A 17405-nucleotide genomic window follows, 5' to 3' on the forward strand; every position below is an offset into this window, starting at 1 on the left:
AATGCAGGCTCTTTTTTGGTTCCATATGAACTTTAAAGTAGTTTTTTCCAATTCTGTGAAGAAAGTCATTGGTAGCTTGATAGGGATGGCACTGAATGTATAAATTACCTTGGGCAGTATGGCCATTTTCATGATATTGATTCTTCCTACTCATGAGCATGGAATGTTCTTCTATTTGTTTATATCCTCTTTTATTTCATTGAGCAGTGGTTTGTCGTACTCCTTGAAGAGGTCCTTCACATCCTTTGTAAGTTGGATTCCTAGGTATTTTATTCTCTTTGAAGCAATTGTGAATGGGAGTTCACTCATGATTTGGCTCTCTGTTTGTCTGTTATTGGTGTATAAGAATGCTTCTGATTTTTGCACATTGATTTTGTATCCTGAGACTTTGCTGAAGTTGCTTATCAGCTTAAGGAGATTTTGGGCTGAGACAATGGGGTTTTCTAGATATACAATCATGTCATCTGCAAACAGGGACAATTTGACTTCCTCTTTTCCTAATCGAATACCCTTTATTTCTTTCTCCTGCCTGATTGCCCTGGCCAGAACTTCCAACACTATGTTGAATAGGAGTGGTGAGAGAAGGCATCCCTGTCTTGTGCCAGTTTTCAAAGGGAATGCTTCCAGTTTTTGGCCATTCAGTATGATATTGGCTGTGGGTTTGTCATAAATAGCTCTTATTATCTTGAGATACATCCCATCAATACCTAATTTATTGAGAGTTTTTAGCATGAAGCATTGTTGAATTTTGTCAAAGGCCTTTTCTGCATCTGTTGAGATAATCATGTGGTTTTTGTCTTTGGTTCTGTTTATATGGTGGATTACATTTTTTGATTTCCGTATGTTGAACCAGCCTTGCATCCCAGGGATGAAGCCCACTTGATCATGGTGGATAAGCATTTTGATGTGCTGCTGGATTCGGTTTGCCAGTATTTTATTGAGGATTTTTGCATCAATGTTCATCAGGGATACTGGTCTAAAATTCTCTTTTTTTGTTGTGTCTCTGCCCGGCTTTGGTATCAGGATGACGCTGGCCTCATAAAATGAGTTAGGGAGGATTCTCTCTTTTTCTATTGATTGGAATAGTTTCGGAAGGAATGGTACCAGCTCCTCCTTTTACCTCTGGTAGAATTCGGCTGTGAATCCATCTGGTCCTGGACATTTTTTAGTTGGTAAGCTATTAATTATTGCCTCAATTTCAGAGCCTGTTATTGGTCTATTCAGAGATTCAACTTCTTCCTGGTTTAGTCTTGGGAGAGTGTATGTGTCGAAGAATTTATCCATTTCTTCCAGATTTTCTAGTTTATTTGCATAGAGGTGTTTATAGTATTCTCTGATGGTAGTTTGTATTTCTGTGGGATCAGTGGTGATATCCCCTTTATCATTTTTTATTGCATCTATTTGATTCTTCTCTCTTTTCTTGTTTATTAGTCTTGCTAGCGGTCTATCAATTTTGTTGATCTTTTCAAAAAACCAGCTCCTGCATTCATTGATTTTTTGAAGGGTTTTTTGTGTCTCTATCCCCTTCAGTTCTGCTCTGATTTTAGTTATTTCTTGCCTTCTGCTAGCTTTTGAATGTATTTGCTCTTGCTTCTCTAGTTCTTTTAATTGTGATGTTAGGGTGTCAATTTTAGATCTTTTCTGCTTTCTCTTGTGGGCATTTAGTGCTATAAATTTCCCTCTACACACTGCTTTGAATGTGTCCCAGAGATTCTGGTATGTTGTGTCTTTGTTCTCGTTGGTTTCAAAGAACATCTTTATTTCTGCCTTCATTTCGTTATGTACCCAGTAGTCATTCAGGAGCAGGTTGTTCAGTTTCCATGTAGTTGAGTGGTTTTGAGTGAGTTTCTTAATCCTGAGTTCTAGTTTGATCACACTGTTGTCTGAGAGACAGTCTGTTATAATTTCTGTTCTTTTCCATTTGCTGAGGAGTGCTTTACTTCCAACTATGTGGTCAATTTTGGAATAGGTGTGGTGTGGTGCTGAGAAGAATGTATATTCTGTTGATTTGGGGTGGAGAGTTCTGTAGATGTCTATTAGGTCCGCCTGGTGCAGAGCTGAGTTCAATTCCTGGATATCCTTGTTAACTTTCTGTCTCGTTGATCTGTCTAATGTTGACAGTGAGGTGTTAAAGTCTCCCATTATTATTGTGTGGGAGTCTAAGTCTCTTTGTAGGTCACTAAGGACTTGCTTTATGAATCTGGGTGCTCCTGTATTGGGTGCATATATATTTAGGATAGTTAGTTCTTCTCGTTGAATTGATCCCTTTACCATTATGTAATGGCCTTCTTTGTCTCTTTTGATCTTTGTTGGTTTAAAGTATGTTTTATCAGAGACTAGGATTGCAACCCCTGCTTTTTTTTGTTTTCGTTTGCTTGGTACATCTTCCTCCATCCGTTTATTTTGAGCCTATGTGTGTCTCTGCACGTGAGATGGGTTTCCTGAGTACAGCACACTGTGGGTCTTGACTCTTTATCCAATTTGCCAGTCTGTGCCTTTTAATTGGAGCATTTAGCCCATTTACATTTAAGGTTAGTATTGTTATGTGTGAATTTGATCCTGTCATTATGATGTTAGGTGGTTATTTTGCTCATTAGTTGATGCAGTTTCTTCCTAGCCTCAGTGGTCTTTACAATTTGGTATGTTTTTGCAGTGGCTGGTACCAGTTGTTCCTTTCCATGTTTAGTGCTTCCTTCAGGAGCTCTTTTAGGGCAGGCCTGGTGGTGACAAAATCTCTCAGCATTTGCTTGTCTGTAAAGTATTTTATTTCTCCTTCACTTATGAAGCTTAGTTTGGCTGGATATGAAATTCTGGCTTGAAAATTCTTTTCTTTGAGAATGTTGAATATTGGGCCCCACTCTCTTCTGGCTTGTAGAGTTTCTCCCGAGAGAGCAGCTGTTAGTCCGATGGGCTTTCCTTTGTGGGTAACCCGACCTTTCTCTCTGGTTGCCCTTAACATTTTTTCCTTCATTTCAACTTTGATGAATCTGACAATTATGTGTCTTGGAATTGCTCTTCTCGAGGAGTATCTTTGTGGTGTTCTCTGTATTTCCTGAATTTGAATGTTGGCCTGCCTTGCTAGATTGGGGAAGTTCTCCTGGATAATATCCTGCAGAGTGTTTTCCAACTTGGTTCCATTCTCCCCGTCACTTTCAGGTACATCAATTAGATGTAGATTTGGTATTTTCACATAGTCCCATATTTCTTGGAGGCTTTGTTCGTTTCTTTTTATTCTTTTTTCTCTAAACTTCTCTTCATGCTTCATTTCATTCATTTCGTCTTCCATCGCTGATACCCTTTCTTCCAGTTGATCGCATCCGTTACTGAGGCTTGTGCATTTGTCACGTAGTTCTCGTGCCTGGTTTTCAGCTCCATCAGGTCCTTTAAGGACTTCTCTGCATTGGTTATTCTAGTTAGCCATTCATCTAATCTTTTTTCAAGGTTTTTAACTTCTTTGCCATGGGTTCAAACTTCCTCCTTTAGCTTGGAGTAGTTTGATCTTCTGAAGACTTCCTCTCTCAACTCGTCAAAGTCATTCTCCATCCAGCTTTGTTCTGTTGCTGGTGAGGAGCTGTGTTCCTTTGGAGGAGGAGAGGCACTCTGATTTTTAGAGTTTCCGGTTTTTCTGCTCTGTATTTTCCCCATTTTTGTGGTTTTATCTACCTTTGGTCTTTGATGATGGTGATGTACAGATGGGTTTTTGGTGTGGATGTCCTTTCTGTTTGTTAGTTTTCCTTCTAACAGTCAGGACCCTCAGCTGCAGGTGTGTTGGAGTTTACTGGAGGTCCACTCCAGACCCTGTTTGCCTGGGTATCAGCAGCGGAGGCTGCAGAACAGTGGATATTGGTGAACAGCAAATGTTGCTGTCTGATCGTTCCTCTGGAAGTTTTGTCTCAGAGGAGTACCCGGCCGTGTGAGGTGTCAGTCTGCCCCTACTGGGGGCTGCCTCCCAGTTAGGCTACTCGGGAGTCAGGGACCCACTTGAGGAGGCAGTCTGTCCATTCTCAGATCTCAAGCTGCGTGCTGGGAGAACCACTACTCTCTTCAAAGCTGTCAGACAGGGACATTTAAGTCTGCAGAGGTTATTGCTGTCTTTTGTTTGTCTGCCCTGCCCCCAGAGGTGGAGCCTACAGAAGCAGGCAGGCCTGCTTGAGCTGTGGTGGGCTCCACCCAGTTCGAGCTTCCTGGCTGCTTTGTTTACCTACTCAAGCCTGAGCAATGGCGGGCGCCCCTCCCCCAGCCTCACTGCCACCTTGCAGTTTGATCTCAGACTGCTGTGCTAGCAATGAGGGAGGCTCCGTGGGCATAGGACCCTTCGAGCTAGGTGCGGGATATAATCTCCTGGTGTGCCGTTTGTTAAGCCCATTGGAAGAGCGCAGTATTAGGGTGGGAGTGACCCAATTTTCCAGGTGCCTTCTGTCACCCCTTTCTTTGACTAGGAAAGGGAATTCCCTGACCCCTTGAGCTTCCTGGGTGAGGCAATGCTTTGCTCTGCTTCAGCTCACGCACGGTGCACTGCACCCACTGTCTGGCACTCCCTAGTGAGATGAACCTGGTACCTCAGTTGGAAATGCAGAAATCACCCATCTGCTGCGTCGCTCACGCTGGGAGCTGTAGACTGGAACTGTTCCTATTCGGCCATCTTGGCTAAGACTTAAGTCTACATTTCTATTATCATTTCTTATTATGTGCAATCTTTTTTTTTTTTTTGAGATGGAGTCTTGCTTTGGTGCCCAGGCTGGAGTGCAATGATGCAATCTCGGCTCACTGCAACCTCTGCCTCCTGGGTTCAAGTGATTCTCCTGCCTCAGCCTTCCAAGTAGCTGGGACTATTATAGGCACATGCCACCATGCCTGGCTAATTTTTTTGTATTTTTAGTAGAGACAGGGTTTCACCATGTTAGCCAGGACGGTCTCAGTCTCCTGACCTTGTGATCTGCCCACCTTGGCCTCCCAAAGGGCTGGGATTACAGGCGTGAGCCACTGTGCCCAGCCTGTCATGTGCAATCTTGAGTATCACTGCTGTGTGGTGGTGGGGACAGTGAGATGAAGCTGAGGGAGAGGAAAAACCTCATTGCTTAGCTTCCAGTTAACTGAATGGGGTATAGGCAAAACATCATCACACGTACAACCTCCTTACCTGTCCTCTTTCTTTCCTCACTATTCCATGTGCTTTCTTATCTCCCTTCTAGTGTAACATCAGAGAAGGGGTGTACTCTGTGCCCTAGAACTAGGAGCTAACAGAGAAAAACCAAATGTGATGTGGAGTCTGCTAGACAGGCTACTGGAGCAAGAGTGAAGCGATGAAAGTCTCATCATTGGGACATATTAGGTGAGTCACTTCCCTTACACCAGCCTCATCTATTCAACAGGATAATAATTCCCAATCTTCCTGACCACTCAAGAATACTCTGGAGATTAACAATGAACTCATATGGGAAAGCAAACTGTGATCTTAGGTGGGAGGGAAGGACCAGTCACTTTTGAGTAATTACCTTAACAGAGACAATCCAGATGTCCTAGAGTTCTCCATGGTGGGCATTAAATTAATGGCACAGTAATGTGAGGTGTTTTCATCAGAATTTTGCCAAGTATGGTTCGTGGACTACTTCATCAAAATCATCATGGATTGCCTGTTAAAATAGTAGATATTTGGGTCTACCATAAGTCAGCTGAATGAAAAACAGGGAGATGTGGTGGCAGGTATCTATATTTTGAGAAATTTTTCCAATTGGTTGTGGTACTCATCCATGTTTGAAAAGCACTGCTGTGGATTTGCAACAAGGTCTATGAAAAATTTGAATCCTTTCATGTCTAATTTCATCATTGGTTGCTCCTACTACTTTGCTTTTAATATCTGTGTCATTTCTGTTTTGTGAAATAGGTACCAGTTCCTTTAATTCAGTAATTTTCATTCAGTGATTTATGTGTGGAGCATTGATCTAAGCACCGGGGAAACAGCACAGAGAACAAGACAAACATGGTCCCCGGACATATCATTTCTAGTTTGAGAAAACTGGTAATAAGTAGGTAAACAGATCAATGAGCAGGGTAATTTCATATGGGGATTTGTGTTTTAACACATATAGAGTATTAAATGACCAAGATAAAGATAATTACAGATGGGGTTGTAAGTGAAGCTCCTTTTCAGGAAGTGACATTTGAGCTGAGTCCTGGATAACAAAAAGAAGCTAGGCACAGACTGACTTTTTGCCAGTGTGTATACAATGTGCATGGGCACCGTGTGTTCCAAGAGCAGGGAAAAGCTCAAGTGCCTAGAGCCTGGCAGACAATGCACAGACTGGTGAGATGAGGTTGAAGGGGCAGATAGGAGCAATATTGTTTAAGCCATTGTAAGGAGTTTGGATTGTATTGTGAGTGTGGAGGGTTAGAGAATGGGAACAATATCATCTGACTCATGTTTTCAGAAAGTGACTCTGGTCACTGTGCAAAGAATGGACTAGAGAGGGAGAAGATAGTGTGTGAGAATAACCATTAGAAAATATTGCGGAAGTCTAGGGAGGAGCAAGCTGATGGTATCAATGCTGCAGCCATGTGTAGAGGGAGAAATGGACCTTGACAGTATGTGTTTGGAGGTAGGGAGGGTAAGACCTGTAGTAGCTGTGTGTGTGAAGTATGTGGGGATAAGGCAGAATAAAGTATGACCCCTCAGCTTTTTGTACAGCCATGTGGAAAAACGATAGTGCTATTTTGTGAGATCAGTCATTCCAAGTGCTTTTGAGATGTTCTTAAGTTAATTAAAATTTAGGTCATCCAAGGTTGGTTGTAGTGAAAATTAGAGATTTTAAGAATGCAGGTTGTGTATTTCAAAATAGTTAAGAGAATAATTTAGATGTTTCTAGCATAAAGAAAACAAATAGTTAAGGTGATGGATATCTCAGTTATACTGATATGATCTTTACAAATATATGAGTGTGTTAAATTTTCACATGTACCCCCCAAAATATGTAACCCTATATTATATATCAATTGAAAAAATAAATAAAGGTAATAGTAATGTTCAAAAAAAGAGATATCCTTGCTGATTCCCACTTTATAGATGAGAAACTGAGTGGCAGAGAGAATAAGGACTTTGCCTGAGACTACACAGTTAGGGAGTGGGACAGCTTGGATTTGTGTCCAGGATGTCATGCTTCAGAGCCTGAAAACTGTCACAGATTTCTTAGGTGAAAGAAACAGTCTGCACAAGCGTGCATGTTTTAGGAATGCATTTAAAGTAATACTTAGTATGTTAATAGATGTATACAAACACTGGCCCTAGTAACAAAAAGGTGAATGGTGACCTTGGTAAGATCACATTCATTACAATCCTGGCAATGGAAGTCATAGTGCAGTGGGATAGGGGGTTAGTGGCGAATAAAGAATGTTAACAAGGAATGCAGAAAACTATTTTTAGAGCTTTAACTTTGAAGGGAAAAGAGGAGAGAGAGAGAGAGAGGAAGAAGAAGAGGAAGAGGAAGAAGGAGGAGGGAGAGGGAGGGGTATCTTAAGTGGAAAAGATAGGTTGTCAAAGAAGATGAGGACTGTGATTGCACTTTTGGAGAGGACTATGATGTGTGTTGGGGGTCGAACATGTTCGTGTGCACGTCACCTACAGGGATGCGTCTGGAGAGCGTGCATTATCCTAAGGGACAACAGACCCCTTGGGGCCAGGGGGTAGGAGTAGGGTCAGTGAGAGATGCAGGATGATTTAAATGTATTGAAGTGCTTTTGCATAGTGTTTGAAATTTTGTATTCGGGGGGAAAAAGTATTTTAATAAAAATTGAAAACAAAATACTTATCATCAGATTGACAAAAGTAATGTGCACATATATTCCATATATATATATATATTTTTTTTGCTTTGGAAAAGCATTCATTGTAGCCAATTTTATGGGGAAACAAAGCAGATTTTAAAAAATGAATGGAGTGTGTGTGTGTGTGTGTGTGTGTGTGTGTGTGTGTGTGTGTGTGTTTCTAGCTAGTCTAGCTCCACCACCTCAAGTACAGCTCACAGTTGCAGTATTATCTTCAGTTCAGACCAGGACTGGCTTCTGATCTCAGATTTAGATATCCCACAAAAAGTGCTTCTGTTAATATTCCAGAAAAAATGATGGATACAGAAGGATAGCTGGATGTAAGTGAAAAGTTCCAGAAAACCATGTCTGATCCCATTAATCAAGCTCCCAACTTTCATCCCTCCCTGCCCGCTGCTGAGTCCCCTGGTCTACACTCAGAGTTGCAATCCTGACTCTGGCCACCAAGAGGCATTACAGCTATCTCCACGTTCCTTGCTCTTTCTTAATGAAAAGGGGTAAATTTCGCAGAGTAAGTAATGTTATGAAACTTTTCTTTACTGTGATACCAATAGTTCGGAATACCCATTTGTATATTAAAGCAGGCCAATTTGCTGTTGATTCCAAATCTACAGCGCATTCAGTAATTTATTTTTTCCTTCATTAGCGTAGGTTGAGGTGTCCACGCTGTAGGGGGGGGTCCCTCCTGGAGAGCAGGGTGTTCACCACCCATCACTCCAACCCTGTACAGGCTTCTCAGACTCTCTCCCACTCCCTCCCACTGACCCCCCTCTCCAAGACATTGTGGACACATCTGCCCAGACCCCACTCCAGCGCCTCATCCTTTCAGTCACTTCCTGCTGCCCTGGGCTCCCCCAATCCTGCCTCCCAGCAACAGCCAAGGCACATCAGACCTACCTGGTGTTTCATCCTATGGATGTCCCACAGTATGTTTTTACACTCTTTTTTACACCTGTCAGGGTTGTTTTTTTTTTCCAGACAGAATCATTCTGCAGTTCCTTTCATAGACTGGGTTTTAGGGGAGGATACCGTATTTTTCTGCTCCTTGCTTACACTTTGTAGAGAAGTTTGATAATAGTGGTACAGTGATGCCCCCTCATGACAGAAGCCTGAACTGCAGCAGCTTGAACATCGCTGAGCAGGAAGGTGGGAGGGAGGTGCTGTGGCCCATGCACACCCTACAGAGTTTTCTGGAAGTGTGAGTAGAAAAATGGGCATTCCCACTGTACAGGGATACTGACGGCCACCAGACAGAAAGTGTAGCCTCTTTATGTGCTATGTGAAAGCACAAAATGATCATTTCTGTGTTTATGCTTTCAAACCTCTGGATAAATAGCTATAGACCTATATAAGCAAAAATGCATCTTGGCCACTAAGTGATCTTTGTGACCCACATTTGCCCTCATTGTGATCATCTTTGCATACACATGCGTTTCCATAATAATGTTTTAAATTTCCTTCCAAAAATAATTGTAGTCTCTTTTTTTTATCAACCAGGTGGTTCATCATGTGGGTGCCCCAAAAATTCATTTAATTAGTATCCCAGTCATAAAAATGTAGTTGCTTTAACATTTTTTCCTGTTACAAACAATAGTATACTTAATATCCTCCTCATATATATGCAAATATATTTGTAAGCATTTCTGTCAAAAAAAAAAAAGTTCCTGGAAGTGGTCTTTCAAAACCCTGGGAACTGTAAAATTTTATATTAACATAGTGAAATCCAAATACTATTTCTAACTTATATTCCTTACATAACAGTATGTAAGGACCTTGTGTCTTCACACATTAGAAATAATGTGAATCATTGCTAATCTTACAGGCAACAAATCACCTCTCATCGTTATCTTCATTAAAACTTGTTTTGCTGAATTCTAGAATTCCATCCTATGGATATGACATCAGTTTTCTCAAACCTGTGTTAGTCAGAGTGTTCTGATATTCCCTGTTATCTACACTGTGTGGAAGACATCTTTTCAGAGTCTGTGCATGGCTGAAGGGCACAGTTCCTGTAGCTGTTTACACTGGTGAGCCAAATGGGTCCTCTTAGAGCCTTACTAACTGTCTTGGAGGTTATTACAGTACTAATAACAGAACCTGGTTGCTGTACATGTGTGTGTATTTGTCACTGCTTGTGTGTGTGCACAGCATTTCCCTCTGCTTCCTTCTGCCCCTTCATAATTTGGTGTACCGGTTGGTCTTTCTTCCTAAATTCAGGCCCAGAAATAAAGGAAGGGAATTTTCAGAATGACAGTACTTATAACCAGATGCTTATCAGCATCCTTCACAATGTCCTGAAGATAAACTTCTAAAAGGTAAATTGTTGGTGCAAAGGGTGTGCACCTATGTAGCCCTTTGATAAGTATTGCAATACTGACACCCAGAGAGGTAATGCCATTTAGATTCCTCAGGTGGAGTCACAGGAGAAAATCCCAAGAGGAGTAAAAAATAATAATGCTGATGTCATGTTAGAGTGGAGGCCCTGGATGCTGTTGTGGACCCACTCTCCAGTTTCTTCCACAGTTAGAAGATGTGGAAGTGATCAGGTGCAACTCGAATTTTTCATACAAGCAAAGCCCGAGTCAGCGTGAGGGGTGGTGGTGGTGGGGCAGGGAGAGACTGCCATTGCTTGGAGTTACTTAGGACACAGTCAGCAGGGCTGGGATACAGCTACGGTTTTATATATATTCATGGGTATAGAAAACATGGGCATCAAGGCCTTCATATGAAAAAGTTTGGTCATTACTGAGGTACAACAGAAGGCTTTCTTGCAATATAATTACAGACAATGAAATTCGCAGTTTTAAGGATACAACTTGATGATTTTCAGTAAACAAAAGTTGTGCAACCATCACCGTAGTTGAGTTTTGGAGGTTTCCATCACTATAAAATGTCCCATCATACTTGAACGCAGTTAATCCCTGCTTTCACCCCCAGCTCCAGGAATCACAGGTATGCTTTGTGTTTCTGTGGATTTACCTATTCTGGACATCTCATAGAAGTGGAATCATGCAATATTCATCTTTTGTGTCTGGCTTCTTTCACTTCACATAATGTTTTTAAGGTTTATCTATTTTGTAGCATGTATCAGTACTTTATTCCTTTTTATTGATATACCACATTTTTTTATCCACTCATCAATTGGTGAACACTTGAGTTGTTTCCAGTTTTCGGCCATTATGAATTATGATGCTACATATATTTTTTGTGCAAGTTTTTATGTAGACATAGGTTTCCGTTTCTCTTGAGTATGTACCTGGGAGTAAAGTTGCTGGGTTATATGGCAGTTCTCTGCTTGACAATATGAGGAACTCTCAGAATATTTTATTGACCTTGACAGTCTTGAGGAGTACAGCCTTAATCTGTTGTCTTTTTCTCATGATTAGACCAGCATTATGGAATTTCAGAAAGAATACCACAGAGTTGAAGTGCCCTTCTTATCACATAATATTTGGGTTTACATGATGACATGACCTCACTGGTGATGTTAACCTTCATCACATAGTTAAAGTCGTGTTTGCCAAGTTTTCCAATGTACAGTAACTTTTTCAATTCACGTACTATGTTCCTGAGAAGTGAGTCACTAAGTGTGACCTTCATTCAGGATTAAGCTTCACCTCTTGGAGGGTTAGTAGCTACAAATACTATTTGCAATCATTCCATAAAGACTGTTTGTCTTCTCACATGCTTTTCTTTATTAATTCACCAAACATTTACTTATATCAGTATGGATTTATGCATACTTATTTTAAAGTTGAAATATTTTACTTAATGGATATATCCCCGAAGAATTCCAGCATCATTATTTCAGTGGTACAGTAAAAGAATTTTGACTTAACTATCAGGAAACTGCAAAAGAGCTCCCTATCACCGCAATTATATTTCATCACCACTATATTTTCTAATTGTGATATATTAGTGCTTTTAGATAATATATTTAATCATGGCAAAGTTTGGAACAGCATTATAATTTCACTTTATTTCATTGCCTACTTGGTACCCCTTGAGACAGAAATAAAAAACAGATAAGGCAAGATTATTGAAGTAGCCATAAAAATTACTGCTAACATAAAGTAAACCTATTTATGAACTCCCTGTCGATGAAGCAAAAGTATAAGCTGTGTCAGGTAAAATGTGTGCTTCATTTGAAAGCATGTCGTCTGCAGCTTAGCCTTCTGGTTATCTGACTCTGAAAGCTGTTTTACAACTCTACCTTTTAGGTAACTGATAGCATTGCATGCTATCTTTGTCTATAGACACAAGGAAATGAATTCTGTCTTGGGGGAGGGAAACCTTTTCCCCCTGGGAAAGTACCTGTTTATCTCCATTTGAACATTTATTTCAACACTCTTGATCTATAAATGTGACAAAGAGGTGGCTGTAGACTTGGGAGAGTTCATTTCAGTGGAAGGGTGGGGGAACCAAGTCCCAGTAGATGAGAAATGAAGACTGAGGTGTAGGGAAGTGCAGAGGGAAGTGAGTTGAGTATTGAGAATTCTTCATAGAATATTGATTGTAAATGGGAGAATATATGTAAAGAGGATATCAACTAAAGATGTAGAAATGGGTCCATGGCACTGAACTATGTTTTACAATCATCAGTGATGAGTCTCTATGATTAATCTGTTAGTGGGAAGGAGCCATCTCTTCTTAGATCTGCCATCTGAATTTACCACACCCTCCTTTCCACACTTCACTTTCTTGTTTCTATTCTGGGGAAGCCTAAAACTTAACCAAAGGGATGGTGTAGAGTTTGGCCTTAATGCCTAGTAACTGTTAACTGAGGAATGACTGAATGGGTGGATGCACAATGTGTCAAACATGCTGATAATTCACAAATTTTTATCTCCCAGCGCAGAGCTTTTATGCAGATGACTGAACCCGTGGAGTTAGGTGGCTGAGAGGATGCAGCTTCCCAGGTCTCTACAACTGATGGCAGCAAGATGGGAGCACCCAGCTACAGTGTTCAGAAGTAGATTTAGGCAGACTACCACACCTTACATGCTAGAGGGATCCACACTGACCTGAGTAGGTGAGGTCTCAGACAGGCTTGTTTTCTATCATGGGGACAGGATTACAGCCTACTCAGAAGTAAGTTGTGGTCCAGCTCTTGTGTCATTCAGAAAGACTCCAGAACGTGTAGATCCAGCTCCTCTCTAAACTTGAACTCAACCAATATCCCAGAGAGACATTCTTAATCTTCTAGGCAAATGCACTGTCATTAGGAGCCACCAGAGACCACACAAACACACACAAATACACACACACACACACACACATATACACCCTGGAGCCTTAATGCCAGCAGTAGCCCTAGGAGAACCTACAGGCTCATGTGCTTGTTGCTTATTGTCTGTTAGGCTGCATATGTAACTGGACCCTTTTGCATTTAAAAAAATAGCAATAATGATGATTAACAGAGTGTTTATTAGGGAATTATTTAAAAATTACCTTAGTATCCAGTTAAATATGATGAAAATGAGAGAATTTCCACCTGTCATGTTATCAAAGTATTTTAAAAAACCATCGAGGATTTCAGTGAGGTGTGCATATGGGTAGGTCTACTCTGTCTCATATTGGGGGAGGGGATATCACTTCGTACAACCTCTTTCCAGGTTGATTTGGCAATATCTTTTAAATAGTCTGTGCATCCCCACTCTGTATGTATTTGGAGCCTGTCCCTTCAAGTATTCATCCTCAGTGTGACAACTGCCCCTCTATTAGAGGATGCATATTCCTCATGATGTAGGTTGTCTGGGAACTCTACTTTCTAAAGCACTGACCCAGACACATTCCCTTGTCTTTGCAGAGCAGGATATTGATGTACAACAAGATTCTCTGATCAGAAAGAGAGGCAGAACTAGCAGCCTGGCTTCAGAGGTGAAGATACAGATGTCAGTAGTGACCCAGGTCAGCAGGAAAGCAAGATTTACTTGGTTATCATGTGATATGCAGCTCAGCATCATACAGTCTGCATGGGGCCTTACGGGGTGCTGGTCTCTACTTTTCTACTTATTGTAGAATGCTCCTCTGTTGAGGACCAGCCTCAACACCACCCGTAGGGTACCCAAAGTCCGGTGGCGATGAAGGAATGAGAAGAGACAGGTTAAGAGTGCATAAAGAGTGGGGGCCAGGGGACCAATTGCAAAATGGAGGCTGCAAAAGGCGCCAAGCTCTGGTCTCCACACTATTTGTTGAGTACAATCACTTAGATCTAAGAAGCAGGCGTTCAGGGCGAAACGGTGAAAGGGAGGCAGGTGTAATCTATAGCAAATGAATCTCCTTTGTGCTCAAACAGCGTATCTTTAACTTATGGGAGAGTAGCTAGTGGGAGCGGGCTTAACTAGGAGCCTGCACATCTGGCCATATTCCAGTGCTTCAAAGGAGTGTCTTTCTCCTTGAACACAGTGTTTATAGATAAGAGAGCAAGTCTCGCTCAGAGCATGGGAACATAATGGCGATAAGAAGACTTTCCTCCTCAGAGGCCTCTTGTGGCTTTCCACAACTTATTGTCCCATATTTTTATGGCCAGTTTATACAGGTACCCCATAAGCCTTTCTCCCAACACTCCCCAGCCAGACTACTTAACCTACAAACATTATTGCTTCTCTAGCTATAAAATCACATAGAGGTTATTACCTCTACCTCCTGATAATGTTGTGGAAATACATGAAATAAAAATGCACCAGCATTCAAGAAAGGTGAGTCCCCGTGACTCTCTTAGGTCAGGCATCCTGGCCTTCTATGGGATTTTTAAGCTCTCATCACCCATATGGCTCTGCAGCTTGCCTTTTTTCAGAAAAACAGCATCTATCCAGGTTTTTATTTGCATTTCATTAGTGAATGTGTTTTTAAATGTTTCTTGGGCATGTATATTGCTGTTTACATGAATTCTCTGTTTATATCTGTATTAGCTATCTTGCATAACCAATTACCTCCAAATTTTGCTACTTAAAGCAACAAACATATTAATACACATCATTTCTGTGGGTTAGGAATCATGGCACAGTTTAGGTTCTGGCTCAGAGTCTCTCACAAGGCTGCAATCAAGGTCTAGGTAGGGACTACAGCCATCTCAAGGCTCAACGGAGGGAGGATCCAATTCCAAGCTCATTTATATGGCTGTTAGCAGGCCTCAGGGCCTCAATAGTTCTTGGGCAGAGACATCGATTGTCACATGGATAGCTCATATCATGGCAACTGGCTCTCCTTAGCGCATCTATAAGAATGCACAACACAGCTTTTTGTCACTTGATCTCAGAAGTGACATCCCATCCCTTCTCACATATTTTAATTTTTAGTAGCAAGTCACTAACTCTAGCCCACACTATGGGACAGATTATACAGGGAGTGAATACACAAGGAAAATGGGGATCATAGGGGACAATTTTAGAGGGTGCCTACCATAACATCATCAGACCTTCTTTCCATATTGGCTACTGGGAATGCTTTATATATCATGAGAATTAGCTCCATATAATTTGTACATATTTACTCTAACCTACTGAGACAAGCTTTAATGATTTATTTTGTCATATACAGTGTTTTAAAATTTTCAATATTATAATTTAATATACAGATCATTATATAAATAAATTAAGCAATGACCAGGGCAGCATTGATTGTTATTGTCCAGGGAGATTAGAGCATTCAGATTCCTGGAGGCTTCAGAACACATGAAAAGCTTTAGTGAAATTCCAGACTCCACTCCTGAGGAGACAATAACCAAAGCAGTTTCTCTGGTTTACACAACCTCTCTTAATTTCCTATAACTTGATCTAAACTATGCATTTAATAATAGGTTACTTGAATAAATGTTAAGATTAAAGGAGATACAACTTAGAGTACATCTTCTTTATAATTAGTTTTGTCAACATTAGTTTCCTACCCTCCAGATCTTTGTCCCAGAGGAAGCACCTATTATTCTGAATAAGCCTGTCTGCCATCTTAAATGCCAGTCAATTCACATGATCCACATACCAAGGTCTCTTGGCCCCAAGCAGAGGATTTCACTTCCACCATCATCAACCTCATCATCATCACCAAAGGGGTTGTTGAGTGAACAGGCATGGGGATTGTACAATGACCAGTCCCTAACCCTTGGTGGGGCATCATATACAGAAGAGGTTGTTGGGTGCTATACTTTGAATGTCCCCTCCAATTGAAATATAACAGCCATTGTAACAGTATTAAGAAGAGGTGACTTTAAGCAGTGATTAGCCCATAAGGGATCCACCCTTATGAGTGGATTAATGCTGTTATTGTGGGAGTGGGCTAGTTATCATGAGAGTGGGCTCCTAAACTACTGAATGAGTTCAGTCCTACTTCCTCTTTCTGTCTCATGTGCTCACTTGCCCTTCTGCCAAGTTATGATGTAGCATGAAGGCCCTTGCCAGATGCTGGAGCCATGCTTTTGGACTTCCCAGTCTCCAGAACTGTGAGAAATAAATTTTATTTATTTATAAATTACCCAGTCAGTACTATTCTGTTATAACAGCAGAAAATGGACTAACAGAAAATTGGTACCGAGACATGGGCTGTGGCTATAACAAATACCTGAAAATGTGGAAGCAGCTTTGGAGCTAGGTAGTGATGGGTAGAGACTGGAAGAATTTGAATGAACAGGCTAGAAAAAGCCTAGACTGCCATAAATGGAGCTATAATGGCAATTCTGGTGAGGACTCAGAAGAGCAGAGCTGTAGGAAAAGTCTGAATCTTCTTAGATAGTATTTAAGCCTTAAAGTACTTCAAGGGATGGTGACCAGAATGTTGGTAGAAATATGGACAGTAAAGGCCATTCTGATAAAGTCTCAGACAGAAATGATGAACAGCCTGGGCACAGTGGCTGATGCCTGTAATCCCAGCACTTTGGGAGGCTGAGGCGGCTGGATCACCTGAGGTCAGGAGTTCGAGACCAGCCTGGCCAACATGGTGAAACCCTGTGTCTACTAAAAATAAAAAACAATTAGCCAGGCATGGTGGCAGGTGCCTGTAATCCCAGCTACTTAGAAGGCTGAGGCAGGAGAATCGCTTGAACCCAGGAGGCAGAGGTTGCAGTGAGCCAGGATCGCGCCATTGCACTCCAGCCTGGGCAACAAACTGCATTAAAAAAAGAAAGAAAGAAAAGAAATGAGGAACAATGTAGGAAACTGGTGTAAAGGCCATCCTGTTATAAAGTAGCAAAGACCTTGGCTGAATTTTGTCCATGTTCTAGGGCTTTATGGAATGCAGAACTTAAGAGTGATGAAGTAGGGTATCTGGTGGAAGAAATCTCTAAGCATCAAAGTATTCAGGCTGCCACACAGCTACTTTTAACCACATACAGTGAGATGTGAGAAGAAATAAGTGACTTAAAGTATGATTTGTAATTAAAAGAGAAGCAGAGCAAAAAAAATTAGAAAAATTTACAGCCTGGCCATGTAGAATGAAAAGGGTGTTCAGGAGAGAATACTAAGGGTGTGGCCAAGCAACTATTTGCTAAAGAGGTTACCATGGATGGAAGGGAGCCAGATGCTATTCATCAAGACAATGAGAAAAAGTCCCCCAAAGTATTTCAGAGATCTTTGAGGCTGCCCCTCTTGTCACAG

The 17405-nt window shown here is 41.2% G+C and overlaps 1 long non-coding RNA gene across 7 annotated transcripts in view, besides 3 other annotated features; it reads left to right on the forward strand.

The window, feature by feature from the left end:
- The window catches only part of LL0XNC01-250H12.3 (uncharacterized), a 113164-nt gene that overhangs the window by 51243 nt on the left and 44516 nt on the right, over positions 1 to 17405 (forward strand). For all 7 annotated transcript variants that reach the window (NR_188439.1, NR_188440.1, NR_188433.1 and 4 more), the window contains exon 4: positions 5193 to 5332. This is a non-coding gene — a long non-coding RNA (uncharacterized LL0XNC01-250H12.3). The remainder of the gene's footprint in view (positions 1 to 5192; positions 5333 to 17405) is intronic.
- Positions 4155 to 4654: an enhancer, noted in NCBI's record as "H3K4me1 hESC enhancer chrX:102715105-102715604 (GRCh37/hg19 assembly coordinates)". NCBI's record gives its function as "activates a minimal SCP1, AML or CMV promoter by ChIP-STARR-seq in primed H9 embryonic stem cells {active_cell/tissue: H9 hESC(primed)}" and the evidence as "EXISTENCE:reporter gene assay evidence [ECO:0000049][PMID:30033119]".
- Positions 8612 to 8761: an enhancer, noted in NCBI's record as "active region_29818". NCBI's record gives its function as "activates an Ori minimal core promoter by ATAC-STARR-seq in GM12878 lymphoblastoid cells {active_cell/tissue: GM12878}" and the evidence as "EXISTENCE:reporter gene assay evidence [ECO:0000049][PMID:35858748]".
- Positions 8962 to 9031: an enhancer, noted in NCBI's record as "active region_29819". NCBI's record gives its function as "activates an Ori minimal core promoter by ATAC-STARR-seq in GM12878 lymphoblastoid cells {active_cell/tissue: GM12878}" and the evidence as "EXISTENCE:reporter gene assay evidence [ECO:0000049][PMID:35858748]".

The sequence above is a fragment of the Homo sapiens genome, chromosome X (genome assembly GCF_000001405.40).
Source record: "Homo sapiens chromosome X, GRCh38.p14 Primary Assembly".
NCBI lineage: Eukaryota > Metazoa > Chordata > Mammalia > Primates > Hominidae > Homo > Homo sapiens.